At 35.4% G+C, this 18,374-nt stretch overlaps 1 protein-coding gene across 2 annotated transcripts in view, besides 1 other annotated feature; it reads left to right on the plus strand.

The window, feature by feature from the left end:
* FAM174A (family with sequence similarity 174 member A) overlaps nt 1-8,962 on the plus strand; it is a 51,368-nt gene extending 42,406 nt beyond the window's left edge. Inside the window, exons 3-4 of one of the 2 annotated variants that reach the window (XM_006714600.2) lie at nt 3,568-3,625; nt 8,402-8,962. In XM_006714600.2, the coding sequence (XP_006714663.1) occupies nt 3,568-3,586 (19 nt within the window). In that variant the 3' untranslated portion in view covers nt 3,587-3,625; nt 8,402-8,962. The remainder of the gene's footprint in view (nt 1-3,567; nt 3,626-8,401) is intronic. The other variant, NM_198507.3, reaches the window with a different exon arrangement.
* Nucleotides 6,675-6,724: an enhancer, noted in NCBI's record as "active region_22843". NCBI's record gives its function as "activates an Ori minimal core promoter by ATAC-STARR-seq in GM12878 lymphoblastoid cells {active_cell/tissue: GM12878}" and the evidence as "EXISTENCE:reporter gene assay evidence [ECO:0000049][PMID:35858748]".
* Nucleotides 8,963-18,374: the final 9,412 nt, after the last annotated feature.

Raw genomic sequence — 18,374 nt, forward strand, 5'->3', positions numbered from 1 at the left:
TCTCTTAAAGGGAACTTTGCTGTGTTTGTCATTAAACAGGTAGCAAAAAGGAACTTTTATATAATTTTTTCCAAAATTTTTCTGAAGATTAAATTTGGCTATTGATGAAAAAGAAATATTTGGGATTGGAGTCACTGAATGAAGGCATGGATTCTAAGGCATTATTATTTATGAATAGCAGTTTCATAGAGAAAGAAGAGGTATCCAGGACAATAAGTGTGTAGGATACAGCATAGCGCATACTAATAGAATGTCTTGGTTGTTTATTATTTTATAGTCTGTTTGTTTGTAGAAGAAATAGGAATCCATTGCTATAACCAGAGTAGCATTTTTATTTTTAGTACCGTGGAAATTCTGTAAATGATAGAAAACTGAGCATTTTACATAGGATCTAATCTTCAGATTTCAATGACTAAACCCTCCAGAACTGAGAAGTATTATAATAAAATAAGGAGCAACAGGACATAATCATATAGACTGAAGTGCTTCTTGAGCTTCTGTTATTGACTGAATGCCCTTAGACCAATCTCTTGAATCTTGATTCCTCCTCATTACCAATTTGCCTGCCAAATAATATAGTTGGACTGCACTTCTAAAATCTTTCTCAGTTTTTGGTCTCTGTAATTGCCTGTTTTAATCTTGTAGACTACCCTAAAAAGACAATCCTTAGTCTTAATTGAAAGCTATTTATTTTATCCAAAACAACAACAAAAATCCAAAAAACTTAAGAACATCCAGCAAATAATTGATCAGGATGACACTAGAATTCAGGCTTCCCTTCTAGGCCAAGGTTTTTTGTCCTTCTGAAATATTTCCAAGCTTTATTTGTAGTTTTGCACTAATAAAGAAGGATATTGTTTTTCTTTTTTTAATATTTTTTCTCTATTTTTTTGATCACCATCATCCCATTCAGTACCAAGCGATATTCCTCACAGTTAATAAAAACTCAACACATGTTTGGTGATTAAAAGAATGAATGTAATTTTAAAAATATTTTTACCTATTAAGCTTAGCAGCATGCATAGCCCAATGTGTTGCATACCTATTTCAATATTTGTACCTGTTAAGCTTAGCAGCATGCATAGCCCAATGTGTTGCATACCTATTTCAATATTTGTACCTATTAAGCTTAGCAGCATGCATAGCCCAATGTGCTGCATACCTATTTCAATATTTGTATTTATGAAGCTTAGCAGCATGCGTAGCCCATGTATTGCATACCTATTTCAAATATGTTGAAAGCCATCAAGGCATTAAATGTTGTGGTTACTTATGTTTGTTTTCATGTGAAACTATATATTTGAAATAGATTTATGTGTACTGGTAATCCATGTCACTGCCATATAATGTGATTGAGCAAGAATATAACATTCTTAGTTTTTCTTTATTTTATATTATAATGGTGGAAAACTGAAAATTCCAGTTAGTTCAGTTGTTTTCAGCTTAAATTTTGTCAATTCAGGATGTAAATATCATCCTGATAAAGATTCTACCCCTTTTTTCTCCTCTCTCTTCACTTCAAATTGATCCAAGTTCTGTGGAGACACACTTCATTATTCAGTTAATCTAAGACACCATTAATTTTAAGCAGATCATTAAGAAAGAAAAGAAATAGCTGTCAGTTAAATTGTGAAATTATGTAGCGATTTTTTTTTTTTAATTAAGATGGAGTTTCGGTCTTGTCACCCAGGCTGGAGTGCGATGGCACGATCTCGTCTCGCTGCAGCCTCCCGCTTCCAGGTTCAAGCAATTCTCCTGTCTCAGCCTCTCATGTAGCTGGGATTACAGATGCCCGCCGCCACACCCAGCTAATTTTTGTATTTTTTAGTAGAGATGGGGTTTCACAATGTTGATCAGGCTGGTCCTGAATTCCTGACCTCAGGTAATCTACCCACCTCAGTCACCCAAAGTGCTGGGATTACAGGCGTGAGCCACTGTGCCTGGCCATGATATTTTTAAATTATACAAGAATTGTGCACACTAGCCTCTTAGTACTTTTTCACTGTGCTTTCTTTCTGAAGAATTTGGCAATTTATGTTTGCAGTTGTATTGCTTGGTGTATAATAGTTTCTCAAAACAGAAACTAGCAGAGTTTTCATTTATCCAGGGTATCTTTCCATCTTAAGAGATATTTGTTTTTGGCAAGCATGTATGGGATTCATGTCATCATTTAGTGCTAAATATTTGCTTCACTGATATTAATTATAGTTTACTATTCTCTTTTATGTATTTCTACACACAAAAAAATTCGCTTCAGTGGTGATTCATGAAATAAACTTTTTGAAGGTATTTTAAACCTCATTAAATTCATCCTTATAACACCAAAAATGCATATAATTCACTCAAAGTGACAACAATGCAAAGAGCTTTGATCCACAAATACAGCCAATGGCAACTATGTAAGAATTGCCCCTGTCTGACAGCTACTGTAAGATGCCATCAATTGAAAGATGCATCTGAAGTTCAGAGATGTTAAAATGTGAAAAATGTGTGTCTTATAAACTCTGAAATATAGTACCGTTCATAGGAAAGGTCATACTTGCTGTATTAGGGTTCTCTAGAGGGACAAAACTAATGGAATATATATGTATGGGAATTTACTAAGTATTAACTCACACGATCACAAGGTCCCACAATAAGCCATGTGCAGGCTGAGGAGCAAGGAAAGCAGGTCCGAGTTCCAAAACTGAAGAACTTGGAGTCCGATATTCGACGACAGGAAGCATCCAGCACAGGAGAAAGATGTAGGCTGGGAGGCTAGGCCAGTCTCTCACATTTTTCTGCCGCGTATATTCTAGCCATGCTGGCGCTGATTAGATTGTGCCACCCCAGATTAAGAGTGGATCTGCCGCTCTGAGTCCACTGACTCAAATGTTAATCTCCTTTGGTAGCACCCTTACAGACATACCCAGGATCAATACTTTGTATCCTTCAGTCCAATCAAGTTGACACTCAGTATTAACCATCACACTTGCAGTCTTCTATCTTTGCTGGCCACAGCTGAGGGATAGCTTGTCCTGCTTGGTTTTGGAGCACAGCCTCTATCCCTGCCATTCTTGCCAAAAGAGCGTCCTGTTAACAGACCCACTAAGATTATACCGTGTACTCCTGGTTCTGTTGCAGAGTTTGTTTGTTTGTTTGTTTTTGTTGTTTGTTTGTTTGTTTTGAGATAGATTTTGGCTCTCGTTGCCCAGGCTGGACTACAATGGCGTGATCTCAGCTCACTGCAACCTCTGCCTCCCGGGTTCAAGCGATTCTTCTGCTTCAGCCTCCCAAGTAGCTGGGATTACAGGTGCCTGCCACCATGCCAGGCTAATTTTCTGTATTTTTAGTAGAGGCGGGGTTTCACCATGTTGGCCAGGCTGGTCTCGAACTCCTGACTGCAGGTGATTCACTCACCCGGGCCTCCCAAAGTGCAGGGATTACAGGCGTGAGCCACTGCACAAGGCCTGCGGCATTTTTTTTGAGTCAACCAGTCTACCTTCTACAACTTCTATATCACCTCTCCAGAGAGTAGGAATCCTTAGCTACTTTTCTCATACCATATTGATTCTCCACTTTTTTCAGACTGCTGTGGAATTCCTGAGAAAGAGCAACTGAGGGATAGCAACATGGATTTCACTGAGTAGGTGGCAATTGAGTTAAAGTTATTTTTTTAAAGATATAAGTTAATCAAATAAGAGCCTATGAAGGCCCAGCATGGTGGCTCATGCCTGTGATCCCAACACTTTGGGAGGCCAAGGTGGGCGGATCACTTGAGGTCTGGAATTCAAGACCTCGCTTAAGGCTGGAAGACCATGCTTAAGGCTGGAAGAGAATTGGCTTAATTCTTGATAAGTTAAAAATAATTCCAATTGGGCATATAAATAAGAATGCCTTCTTCAATATTACATTTGGTCGTGGTTGAGTCATGCCAGGGAGGGAGTGGGGAGTGGTGGTTCCTACAGTAGCCCCTGAACAGCATGAAAACATCCAGAATAGAATTCTGAGGAAATTCCCACTCAAGGAATGAAATACTCTAAATGAGAGAGCTGGTCATACAGTCTTATAAATATAAACAGGTTCAAGGAAATGTTGGGCACAATGTAATATGATTGCTAGATCATAATAGTTATGCTAATTTGCATATGTTTTGAGGTTAATTACGAGTCTCAAAACGCCTTTCTGAAACCATATCTTAAGAGACTCTTTATGTGGTAGGTAATTTTCTATTTGAAAAAAATCTTTTAGATATTCCTCAGGGTCTCATATATAGTCAAGTTCAAAAGGCTATTTAGTGATAGAATTTGGATTAGGTTCTAGTAATTTTGTGTTCTCCTAGTTTATGAAACTGCAATTTTGATTTTACAGATTGACTTTTTTTCATAGTCTACAAATTCATTATCAGTATTATCATGGGTTTCAAGCGTTAAAAGGACAAGGGCTGTACAAAAGAATTCTAAGTGTTACATGTTTTTTTTTAATAACCTTCAGTATATTTTTTAAAGGATTAAATTTACTTTCAAAGTAAAAATATATTAGAACCTCATTATCTTATACTAATCATTTAGAGAACTATTACAGACTGCTGACTAAAGATTCAGATAAGATGAAAAAGAGCATTATTCATTTTCAGATGTTTTTCCAATGAAGTTCTAAATGTTATTGATGATTATAAAGGAAGATTTATTAAGTTTGTAAAATATGCACATTTTGTTTTTTTTTTTAATTTGGTTTGATCAAATGCTTTTCATTACGATGGCTCTTACTAGCAGAAATATTTTTGGAAGGCAGGATTTAAATTAAGTAGTAGTAAAGTTGTATAATTAGAATTAAAATCTATAAAAATTTGTATGTCAAAATATAGTTTTATATTATAATAAACTAGTTAGGCAATAAGAGAGTAAATGGGCAAACTTGCCCCATTGTAGTGTTTATTGGAAATCTTGTCTTTAGTATGGATAATTTTTGTTACCGTATTATAAATTTCCAAAGCATTGATTGTTTTATAGATTATACCTAGTAGCTTGTAGCTTTAGTAATCCTCATTTCTGAAGGTTAGAAATAGGAACAAATAACTGTATTTATAGGAACCATAGAAATGAATAACTGTTGTTGGCTCTTGAATAACATGGGGGCTAGGGGCACCAACTACACAGTCAAAAATCCACGTGTAATTTTTGGACTCCCCAAAAACTTAACTACTAATAACCTGCTGTTAACTGGAAGACTTACTAATATCATGAACAGTCAATTAACATGTATTTTGTATGTTATATGTATTATATACTCTATTCTTACAACAAAGCATGCTAAAGAAAAGAAAATGTTACTAAGAAAATCATAAGGAAGAGAAAATATATTTACTGTTCATTAAGTGAAAGTAGATCTCATAAAGGTCTTCATCCTTGTCTTCACGTTGAGTAGGCTGAAGAGAAGGAGGAAGGAGGGGCCGATCTTGCTGTCTCAGGGGTGGTAGAGGCAGAAGAGTTGAAGCAGGTGGAAGGGGAGGCAGGCACACTTGGTGTAACTTTACAGAAACACATCTGAGATTTTTGCCTTTTGATTTCTCTAAAACTGTTTCTATTGGTACCAATTCTTCTTCCACAGCTTGCTTTAGTTTTAGTGTCCATATCATAGAAAGGTCCATGTCATAAAAGAAGTTGAAAGCAGTCTTGAATAATTGGAATTCTTCTGCCACATTGACTACTGCCAATTTGTTTTCTGGTACAGCTTCTTCTACATCTTCTTCCTTATCATGTGGCACTGGTTCAGAAGCACTCATCTCCATCAAGTCATTTTCTGTTCATTGTTCCATTGTAATGTCAGTTAGCTCTTGAATTACTCCAAGATCCTCATCTTGACATCTTTTATTACCGATTTTTTTTTTTTGCAATATCCACAGTTTCTTTCATGATTTCCTTGATTGGCTCTATTGTAAATCCTGTGAAGTCATGTGCAACATCTTGAAACAGTTTCCTCCAGCAGAACTTACTGTTTTGCACTTGATGGCTCTCAAGTCTTTTTCAATAAAATAGCAGCATCTTCAATGGTATATTCCTTCTAGACTTTCATGACGTTCTCTCTATTGGGATCTCTTCCATAGTGTTGAATAAACCTTTCCATAGCGTACTGGGTGTAATAAGCCTAAGCATCCTTATGGCCCCCTTATCTCAAAGCTGAATTAGAAACATTGTATTTGGAGGCCAGTAGACCACTTCAATGCCTTCAGTGTTGAATTCCTGGGGTTCTTTGTGGCCCAGGCCATTGTCCAAAATCAAAAGAACTTTAAAAGTCAGTCCCCTACTAGCAATGTACTTCTGGACTTCAGGGACAAAGCATCAGTGGAACCAGTCCAGAAAAAGAGTTTTCAGTGTCCAGGCCTTCTTCTTGTACAACTAAAAGACTGGCAGCTGGTGTTTGTCTTTTCCCTTCAAGGTTTGGTGGTTAGCAGCTTTGTATGTAAGGGCAATCCTAATGAGAAACTCTACTGCATTTGCATGAAACAGTACTGTTAGCCTATCCTTTCAGTCTTAAATCATACTGCTCACTTCTCTTCCGTATTAATAAGTGTCATTTGTGGCTTTTTTTTCCAGAACAGGGCACTTTAATCTGTATTAAAAACTGTTTAGGCAGATGTCTTTTCTCCTCAATGATTTTCTCAGTGGTTTCTGGGGACTCTGGTCTGTTGCCTCTTGGTCAACAGAAGCTGCTTCTCCTTTTAGCTTGACAATTTTTTTAAGCCAAACCTCTTTCTGAAATTATTAAACCATCTTTTGTTGGCATTAAATTTTCCAGCTTTAGATCTTCCACCTTCCTGTTGCTTTAGATTATAATACAATGATTTTGCTTTTTCTCAAATCATGTTAGAGTCTGTAGGTTTGCATTTCTTACAGCAATCATGCAACCACACAAAAGCTTAATTTTCAATATGAGATAAAAAAGTTATTTCAAAAAAAATGCAAAGATGCTGTGCTTGCTAATGAAGCTGCAGTGACAGTTTCACATTTTTTTTTCCTTTGTTACAGTGGTCCTTAGGCTGGATTCATTATTCTGGAAATGGCAGGCAACCCCTGCTGCAGATCTCCATCTACAATACATATCAAGCAATCCAACTTCTTTTTTTTTTTGTAATGTCATGACTTTTTTCTGCTTCCAGCAAAAGCAATTCCATCATCAATAGTGGCATTTTGTATGGGTGTCATCATGTTATTCAAGGTTTATGATATTGCACTAAATGCAGTAGAAACTATGCGAGAATCATGAGAGATCACTTTTACTGCAATACACAATTTACTGGAGATACGAATTGCCCATGTGGAGATGATTAGTGTCACGTGGTATTTTAAATAAATACCAACAACGCTTGAGCTCACCATAATAATAACTAGAGGGGACTGTGAAATTACTACAGTAGTACACTATGTACTATAGTTAATTTTCTACAGTTATGATTTAATACTACATCTTTATATTTACTTACATATCTCTCGACTGCAAATAGCACCATGTATAGTCTGTGCTTATGTGCATAAGTTTTGATAAATTTTAACATAGTAGATTTGTATATATGTTAGGATCATAAATGATAAAATAAATCAGCATCTACATTTATTTTATCCATTCATGGCATACTTTTTTCTTAAATTTTTAATATTTCATTTTCTTTATTTGAGACAGAGTCCTGCTCTGTTGCCCAGGCTGGAATACGGTGGCACAATCTCTGCTAACTGCAGCCTCCGCCTCCCGAGTTCAAGTGATTCTCCTGCCTCAGCCTCCTGAGTAGCTGGGATTACAGGAGTGCGCCATCACACCTGGCTAATTTTTGTATTTTTAGTAGAGATGGGCTTTCACCATGTTGGCCAGGCTGGTGTTAAACTCCTTACCTCAAGTGATCTGCCTGCCTTGGCCTCCCAAAGTGCTGGGATTACAGTTGTGAGCCATCACGCCCGGCCTTTTTTGATATTTCTAAACTATGTAGTTCATTGTAATATTTTTCAAATTGTCTCAGATCTCAAAAAAACTTTAGAATATATTTATTGAAAAAAATCTGCACATAAGTGGTACTATGCAGTTCAAACCCATGTCATTCAACAGTCAACTGTATTGTATACTCAAGTCAACTAAAGTCATTTATGAATATTATATGAGGATAAACTTTATTATGAATATAACCTAGTCTTTACTCACAGTAGTTAAATATAAAATTCCTTTAAATAGTTAGAATTTCTGTTTAATAGATAATTTCTGAAATAATTTAGACAAAATAAGCATGTGTTATTGGTGTTCTTTTTAATAATTTTTAAGACTAAGTACTTTTATTATATTCTTCCTTCCCCTCCAAATCTTTCTGAATAGTTTTAAATGTTTTTAAAATTGTTCTAGAAAGGATATTTATGGTATTTTTTTCTTTTTCTTGCAGATAAGAATGTGCCTTTTGATGAAAGAACTTTATCTTTCTACAATGAAGAGTGGAATTTCTATGTTTAAGGAATAAGAAGCCACTATATCAATGTTGGGGGGGTATTTAAGTTACATATATTTTAACAACCTTTAATTTGCTGTTGCAATAAATACCGTATCCTTTTATTATATCTTTATATGTATAGAAGTACTCTGTTAATGGGCTCAGAGATGTTGGGGATAAAGTATACTGTAATAATTTATCTGTTTGAAAATTACTATAAAACGGTGTTTTCTGATCGGTTTTTGTTTCCTGCTTACCATATGATTGTAAATTGTTTTATGTATTAATCAGTTAATGCTAATTATTTTTGCTGATGTCATATGTTAAAGAGCTATAAATTCCAACAACCAACTGGTGTGTAAAAATAATTTAAAATTTCCTTTACTGAAAGGTATTTCCCATTTTTGTGGGGAAAAGAAGCCAAATTTATTACTTTGTGTTGGGGTTTTTAAAATATTAAGAAATGTCTAAGTTATTGTTTGCAAAACAATAAATATGATTTTAAATTCTCTTAAAGTGGTCCAAATTATGTGTTTATAAAATAAACATAAGACTATAGAATTAAAAATTAATATATGTATTTGTAATTTGTCGGAAAATCTATCAAAATGTTATTCTATTTTAGCAACTACTATGTAACATATCTGCTTTGATTAGATATTTCAGAAATCTGTGAATTTTACAGCCATTTAATATCTTTACTGTATAGTAAGATGTAGAAATGGCAATAATGGCATAGTTCAAATACTTCATTGTGTTATGGAACAGGGGATTGAGGAATTAAACACATAGACTTTGGAGTCAGATCTATATTCAGAGACTGACTTCACGATCTCTGAACAAATTATTTAACCTCACTGAGATTCAATTTTTCACATTCTAGAAGTTAGAGGAGAACTTATAGGAAAAGCATGGGTCATGAACTCAGTTGCTTACTGAGACCAGGGACGTAATTTAAATGTGCATGTAAGTCAGGATTGGCTAGGTCAGAGAGAGTTAACATATGGTTCCAAATCACAGTGGGTTGCAACAAGGATTTATTTTTCACTTCTGCTACATGTTTGTTATGAACTATGATTCTGCTCTTTGTAGTCTTTTCTCCAGGACCAAAGATGATGTGAAAACCTCTGCCCCAAATGTTGTCTCATATCTAAGCATCCAGATATAATGCACTGCATGCTAGTTCATTAGCTTTTGCCTCAAGGTGATAAATTTCAATTTCACCTACATTTTATTGGCCAAAACAAACCATAAGGCTGCACCCAAGTTCTACAAGGCAAGGATAGATAATTCTTTCGCAAGGAAGTAAATTGGAGTATTTGGCTATCCACAATGCAAACTTATTTTTACCTATATGCCAACTGGCTTTCCATAGTGAATCAAGTCACCATGATGTCAGTGTATATATATATATATATATATATATATATTGTGTGAGCAGAGACTAAAGTGGAAGGTATTTGTTCTTCTAAAGGAATCGGCCTCTCTTCAGATCCCACTAATAGTTACCATGAGAAAGTCCTTGCCTGTGTTGTTAGCTCTTAGTTTTTACTTTCCAAGAGAAGCCAAACCTACAGATATTGTGTATGAAATATCCCTAATTTAAAATGTTATTAGCGGCCGGGCGCGGTGGCTCACGCCTGTAATCCCAGCACTTTGGGAGGCCGAGGCGGGCGGATCACGAGGTCAGGAGATCGAGACCATCCTGGCTAACACGGTGAAACCCCGTCTCTACTAAAAATACAAAAAATTAGCCGGGCGTGGTAGCGGGCGCCTGTAGTCCCAGCTACTCGGGAGGCTGAGGCAGGAGAATGGCGTGAACCCGGGAGGCGGAGCTTGCAGTGAGCCGAGATGGCGCCACTGCACTCCAGCCTGGGCGACAGAGCGAGACTCCGTCTCAAAAAAAAAAAAAATGTTATTAGCACAGAACACATATTTGGATTAAATTTGGCCCCATACCTTATATTTTATGACATGGAAAAAATCATATACTGTAGTATCTTGGAAATAATAATTTATTTAATAACTGCTGTCATTTATAAGCTAGCTTTTTCATTAACACTCATTAGAAGTAAGAATCAAAGAATAAGAATTCTGATAAGTGGCTGGGCGCAGTTGCTAACTCCTGTAATCCCAGCACTTTGGGAGGCCGAGGTGGGCAGATCACGAGATCAAGAGATTGAGACCATCCTGGCCAACATGGTGAAACCCTGTCTTTACTAAAAATATAAAAATTAGCTGGGAGTGGTGATGTGCGCCTGTAGTCCCAGCTACTTGGGAGGCTGAGGCAGGAGAATCGCTTGAACCTGGGAGACAGAGGTTGCAGTAAGCCAAGATTGTGCCACTGCACTCCAGCCTGGGTGATAGAGTGAGACTGTCTCAAAAAAAAAAAAAAAATTCTGATAATTAAGGCAACTTAAAGTAAGGATCATTTTCATAAATGGTCTCCAAGTTGCTTTTAAAGAGGATGTTACCAAAATGTTTTCAGCACTGGCACCAACTTAATTAGAAATATACAATTTCTCTAGATGACTACTTCGAAAAGGATATCCTTCAACTGGACATGGAAATTTTGTCATGTTTATTAAAAATTCCTTTATTATTTCCATTATTATTTTCATATAGTCATTCATATACTGCAAATCTAGTTATAATTATTATAATAAGCCACACTTTTATTAAAGTGCTCAATAATACATCTACAAAATCACCTACAAAGCTGATATGCTGAATTTTAGCTTCATTAGATACGTAACAAGCATGCTGATGAAATTGTTAGGATTTTTACCTAAAACCCTAAAACTCTATATGTACATTTAAAATTAACTGGTGATACCTTAGATGTAATAAAAACATGTTGTTATTCTCCTTTCCCATTTGGTACCTCCTTTTAGTGGTATTATTGGTATTAGCCAAACCTAGGAATTAGAGATCAGTAGAGCTGGTACAGTTGAGTCTATAGCGCAGGAGGAGAATAAGTGGGAAGAAAGAATAGGTTTTGGAGTAACTTACAGGTGTTTTTTTATGCTTGAAGCTTCTGTCCAACCCACTGTGTGGAGCTAGAAAATCAAGTAACTTCTTTCTGCCCACCTTCTCTTAATTATTAGGTGGATACCCACTGCTATGAAAACAAACCCTTGGGCTGCCTGCACCTCATCAGATTCTAGCTGGTGTTTGAGTTTCATTATTTTACCAAGGATACAGCCCATTGCCCTTAATCACCTATCCTCTATGTCTTTTTTTAATGTTTTTCTTTGGTACTTTAGTTTGAATTATATTCATTTTAATTTACTCATTATAGTTTTATCATTTTTACCTTATTTACTTTTCTATTTTTTTTAATTCTCTAACCACTTCCATTAAGTGAAGCAATAAAGAAAAGATTGTTTTCTCTTAAGTTGGGAGGTGAAAAATAGCTTATAAGGAAATAAATGAAGGGATGAAGACAGTGAAATGATCCATTCCATAAAAATGGGCAGTTAGACTAATTATTTCCCTAAATACCCCTCTGGCCATCCCATCATTTTCAAGGATTTTTTAAATAAACAGTTTTATATTCTGTGCCTTTGAAGAATCAAGCAAAAAGTATTCTCAACACCAATTTATGCTTGATTTGCTAAGATGGATGTTATTTCCATTAATTCTCACCATTTCTTAACATTAGAAATTGAATATTTTAAATTCATCGTCTTTAACATATTTTGCCTGTCTATGTCAGTCACCTGTTATATGGCAGGAGGTAAAAGTAGATGAGAGGAAATTTAGGGAGGAACTGTCTCTAAAACTTCTATGTCTGGCTGGTAAGAAACTATGGCTGCTGCATCTCCCGTCAAAAGATCTCATTGTAGATCCACAGTATAGGACCTATAGCCAGGTGTTCTGGCTCTATTTTTGCATCAGATTCTAGTATATGTGGTTTTATTTGCACTTCTCTTCATTCTTATTATACAGGTTCCTTCAGTACCCATGCCAGTACCCATGCCTGGTGATATACCAGGAATATGTTGAAATTACTCAGGTGTTTTTTCTTAAATAGGCTTTTTGAAGCAAAGTAAGCAAAACAACTCTGATAGTTACTTCTCTTAATCTGCCAGGGTTCTTTTTAGGTCAACCTGGGCCTGTACGTATTATTATTTGCCTAAAATGGAGTGGAAGTTCATTTCATCCTCGGATTCTTCTCACTCCCTTACCAGAAGAAAGTTCTTGACATAGCATGCAGCTTTCGCTGAGGGCTGACTTTTTCTGATTCTTTGTCTCCAAAGCCGGAAGTATGAGCATGTTTAAGCTCCAGACTTTGGTTCTTATTCCCTTGTTTCATGTATTTTTCTTAACGAATATATTGTTATTCATCCATGCAGGGTTCAAGCTCCCTCCCTAAAATATAAAGTTCAAGACTAGCCTGACTAACATGGTGAAACCCCATCTCTACTAAAAATACAAAAATTAGCCAGGCATAGTGGCGGGTGCCTGCAATCCCAGCTACTTGGGAGGCTGAGGCAGGAGAATCATTTGAACCCAGGAGACAGGTTGCAGTGAGCTGAGATCGTGCCATTGCACTCCAGCCTGGGAGACAGTGAGACTCCCTACTCCAGTTGTTTGTTTTTGGTTTTGTTTGTTTTTTGTTGTTTTGTAATAGGATAGCTTGTGCCCTTACAGCAACCTCATAAAGAAATGTATCTTTCCACCTTCTAACTGGACCCTCTGACTAATTTTTTTAACACTATTTTCCCAGTACTAGGAAACTTCTCATGGACCAATAGTTTCTGTTGGATAAATAAGCTAATGTTTAGGTAGACTAGTCCCAGTGTAGTCAGGGAGTCCAGGAAGTCTGCAGATTTACCTGTTTCCAAGCAACAAATGTGACTTTTGATTAGCTGTCCTTGGCTTGTCAGATCTGCAGTACAATATACCTAGAGCTATGGATTTAACAAATCCTAAATCCTAAGGTAAAATCAATAGGTATAATCTTTCAGAAAAGACAAAGTCTGCGTCATTTCTGCTGATAATTATTTTATTCTTAGACCAAATCTAGGTTAGCTCCAAAAGTAAACATCCCAGTTATTTGACTTGTATTTTCTAATGAACTTTAATATCCCATTTTCAAGACGTGAATTATTTTAAAATATCACATACTTTTATTATGTTAACTTTCTACAGGTAAAATCATCTTTTCTGGATAAGGGTAGGTTCATCAGTTTTATTTCTTGCATCCACAGGAGGCTGCTGCTTATTGCTTCTGATTTAGTTGCCTGTTAAGGCACTGAACATTATTCCTAACAAGGGCACCTACAATGAATAGCTGTGTACAGTTTATTTTCCTTTAACTCTTTTCTGCTGTCTTTGGTATAAAATTATATCTAAGGACCTGAAAGCCAAAAAACTGTTAGCAGGACAAAAGGGACTTTTCATAGGAGTGCTGAAGAGCAAGATAACTTGTATAGGAAATGTGATGGTCCCTAGCCTATGAAAATATATATTTTTAATATATGTGTACTGGCCCAACCCTTGAGAATCCACATTATATTGCCATGAGAAGTGGCCTAAACATCTATAACAGTTAGAAAGCTCCATGAGTGATTCTGTTGTAACTCCAAATGGGAAACTTCTGTCAGTGTGTAGATAATCACACTGTGATCTAAAGCAGAGTTCAGAGATGACCGTACCTTATATTAATTTCTGGCTCCATTATTTTTTGAATCTTATTTATCTTCATTGTTTCTTTTTCCACAGTCCACTGTTTTCCACATACAATTAATAGTTAAGATTAATTGAATACTAGTATGATAAATGTTTTAGATTTGTTAATTCATTCAATCCTCACAATAACTTTGAGGGAGAGACTATTATCCCTATTTTTGCAAATAAGGATACTAAAGCTCAGAAAAATTGCAGAATTTGCCCCAAAGAAAACAGCTAAAATGTAGTAAAATGGCCTGCTAAATAAGTTCAGAAAATTTATTTTTGCTAATAGAAAAATCTCCATTTGTTTCCAAAAAAATGAAAAGTTTGTTTATAAACGCATGTTAAATAAAAAAGAATCAATTTGAGGAGGTGAGGATATTAGGGCACAAAGAAACAAAAGTAGGAAAATAAGGTCACAGCATAATTTCATGGCCTCAAATCTATCATATAAGTTGCTAAAAATGTGCCATAAATTTCATTCAAGAGAGAGGCAAAAGCTGTTCAGTTATTGCCAGTGCAGAAACCAGAGGGAAATTTGTTTTCCAAGGTTCTCAAGGAGTAATGTAAGGAGATCCCATGGTATAAATTAGTGAACACTTTCCTCAATATATTTATAGTAACCTCAGAAAACTATCGTGCACATCTTTCTTATAATGCCTTTTAACATATACTAGCATGTCTTACACTAGATGTACTTACACTACAATATAATCCAGTAAAATTCATTTCAGAGAAGCAAAATAATCCTGTGTGTTTAAAATTATTTAATAGTTTATATTAACTGAAGGGTAAATTTTAATGCCATCTAAGACAGCCTTTCCCAAAATACAGTCTGTGAAACAACCTATAAAAACAATCAGCATCTTTCCGTGGCTTCTCTGATATCTTCCTTTTTTATTTGTATGTTTCTTTTCTCTTTCTCCCTTTGTTTGTATCTCTTTGTACTTATGCATCTCCTTGCCTCTTATGTTTCTCCTAGATCTTCTCATCTTCACACTAACATCTTTCCCTGGTCATAACCACCCATTACTTCAGTTATGATATTAATGCAGTTTCAAATAAAACATCGCACCAAAGTTGAACAGGCAAGGAAGACTTTATTCAAGGCCGTTGCAATGGTGAGATCCCAGAACTAAATCTAAACTCATCTTCTCTGGAACAAAAGGCAGGAATGGCTTTTTAAGCACTGGGTGCCTGGCCAAAACATACTGGAGGATACCAGGGGAGAATCCTAGGGCACCTGTATTTGTTTGCTAATTGGCTTTACCCGATGGAAAACTAAACTTCTCACATCTTTGTGATAGAGAATGGTTTTGCAACTTGGCTTCAGGAAGGTAGGAGCCAAGTTGCAAAACTACCATCTGTCATAAACTGTCATAAACTCTATCATAGAAACTGTCGGTGCTATCTTCCTTGACATTTATTTAGACTTCAAAAAGATGGCTTTTTGGTCCTTGAGGAAAATATGCCGGGGTTCTAAATTTGGCAAGAGGATTTAAAAAATATTTACATCTGAAATGGGCAAATAGTAATTTTATAATTATGTTGTCTAAGGTGTATACTCAAAAAAAGCAAAAAAGTAGATAAGTGGCCACAAGTTAGATAGAAGCCTGTCTAAAGTTCAGTCAAGCTGAGGGGAACATTAATGCTGTTTTGGACAACAGGTTAATCAGAAATGTGGATTTCCTTAGATTTTCATCTGATATTTAAAACCCATATTTTCAAGCTTCTATATACAAATCATATGTATGTATATACACATACACACACATACATCGATCTATATATCTATCTATATCTATATATCTATATATCTACCTATATCTATATATCTATATATCTACCTATATCTATATATCTATATATCTACCTATATCTATATATCTATATATCTACATATATCTATATATCTATATATCTATATATATCTATATATCTATATATATCTATATATCTATATATATCTGTATATCTATATATCTATATATATCTGTATATCTATATATCTATATATATCTGTATATCTATATATCTATATATCTATATCTATATATCTATATATATCTATATATATCTATATATCTATATATATCTATATATCTATATATCTATATATATCTATATATCTATATATCTATATATATCTATATATCTATATATATCTATATATCTATATATCTATATATCTATATATCTATATATATCTATATATCTATCTATATATCTCTTCCACCCCACATGGATGGCCCAGAGATACATCAAACTGATGGTCATTATCATTCTTACACAAACTACCCTTACTTTGTGTTACCAATCTCAATGAAGGGCACCAACATTCATTCAAGTGTCCAAGCCAGAAGTCATGCTATCTTCTCTTAGCATCTCCATCACCTTCCATACCCTAAGCAACACCTTGCTCATATATGCATACAATCAAATAGGGAAATTAGCAATACCTAATTAATTTTTTCAAGTTAAAATTATTGGACCTATGTTCTATGGGCTAGACAATTAACATCTCAGTTTGCCATGTCTTTTTTTTTTTTTTTTTTTTTTTTGGTGAAATAAACAGAAATGTCCTATGAGAAAAGTCCTTACTGTTCTACTGGGTACTATCTGAGCCAATTTCCAGATTGAATTGGGGCCTTCCATCCAGGCACATACACTAATTAGGCTCTCCAATTTCCACCAGAGAATTTTAACTCTATCTCCATCTAAGCATTTGAGTTCATCTTTAATAATAGGTAATGTTTTCACTGTAAGATTTTATTATATTCATTTACCTAAAGCTCACTAGCACAAGTTTTTTATAAAGACTGGTGGCAGAAATCACTAGTCACCAATTTCTCTATTCTGAATTTTGTCCATGAGTTAATTCAGGCTGCCAACAGCTGTACAAGTTGACTATATCGTTTTCCTCTTGTAGAATTTCTTTTAACTATCTGTCATTATGCCACTGCTGAACAGAGATATTATCAAATACATAGCTGTGAAAGATAAGGTTATATTCAATGTGTCATTAATGAGTAAGTTTTACACTATATCACAGCATATATCTTTTATAAGGAATTTTGAGAAATATTCTACTTCAGTATCAAAATGTTTGGGTTTCCATTGAGCAGCTAGTTTTATTTTTACTTTACATGCTTTGAGGTGTTTGTAATTATATGGCTAGTTCTTTCTTTTTATCCACAAAACTTGTGAGCTGAACCAGAAGCCTCTGTTTACCAAAGTACAAGACTGTATAATATCATTTTTTGTATTCACTTTATCTCTGGAGTATCAGTTTGGTTATGTGGCTACATGTAACCAAAAAACCAAATAGGAGATGCGTTTTTCTAATATCTTGATTTCAGGGAGTTTGTGGTTGCTATTGTTAACATCTTTATAGCTCAGGGGATCCAGGCTCAAGGTCTCTAAAAACGCGTTGGTATTTTCTTTATGATCTTAAGATGACTGTTCCAACTCTAGCCATCCTGCCTTTGTTTGCAAAAGGAAGGAGGAAAGAAAAGAACGAAAGAAATATGGTTGGCCCTTTGAACAGCTGTTTCAGGCGCCTATTATTTCACATAAAACTCTTCAAAACTTAGTAGCTAAAAACATTTATCATCATATTTTATTCTGTGTATTGACAAAGCTTAACTGGCTTTCCTCACTTGGGATCTCTCATCTGATTACAGTCAGATTGTGTCTGGGACTGGAATCATCTAAATATTCAGCTGGGTTGGAAGTCCAAGATGACTCACTCTTGTGGCTGAGAGTTGATATTAGCTGTTGGCTGGGAGCTCAGCTGAAATGCCTACGCACAGCTTTGGCTTCTCATAGCGTGGCAGCTGGGTTCTAAGAGAAAGCTTCCCAACAGTAAGCATTTAAAGTGAAAGTGGCAAGTCTTCTTATAATCTGGTTTTACATGTTTGAGAATATTGCTTCTGCCACATTCTATTGGTCAAGCAAATCACTAAGGTGAGCTCAAACTCGCAGGAAGGAAATTAGATCCCACCTCATTGTGCGAAAAACAGCATATGTGAGCAAAGAGAGAAAGGACTCAATGGTGACTATTTTTGGAAACTATCTACCACTGTACTCTCTGCCTACCAGTATTCATGTTCCTCCCACATGCAAAATCAACTACGGTTTGAAGTCTAGGATTCATCATTCAAATAAAGTTCAAGGGGAAATGAGGGTCCAACTTCTCAGGTGCAATTCCTCAAGACTAGTTTCTTTTTAACAGAAGAATTTTGAACCA

Source organism: Homo sapiens, chromosome 5 (assembly GCF_000001405.40).
Source record: "Homo sapiens chromosome 5, GRCh38.p14 Primary Assembly".
In the NCBI taxonomy this organism is placed as follows: Eukaryota; Metazoa; Chordata; class Mammalia; order Primates; family Hominidae; genus Homo; species Homo sapiens.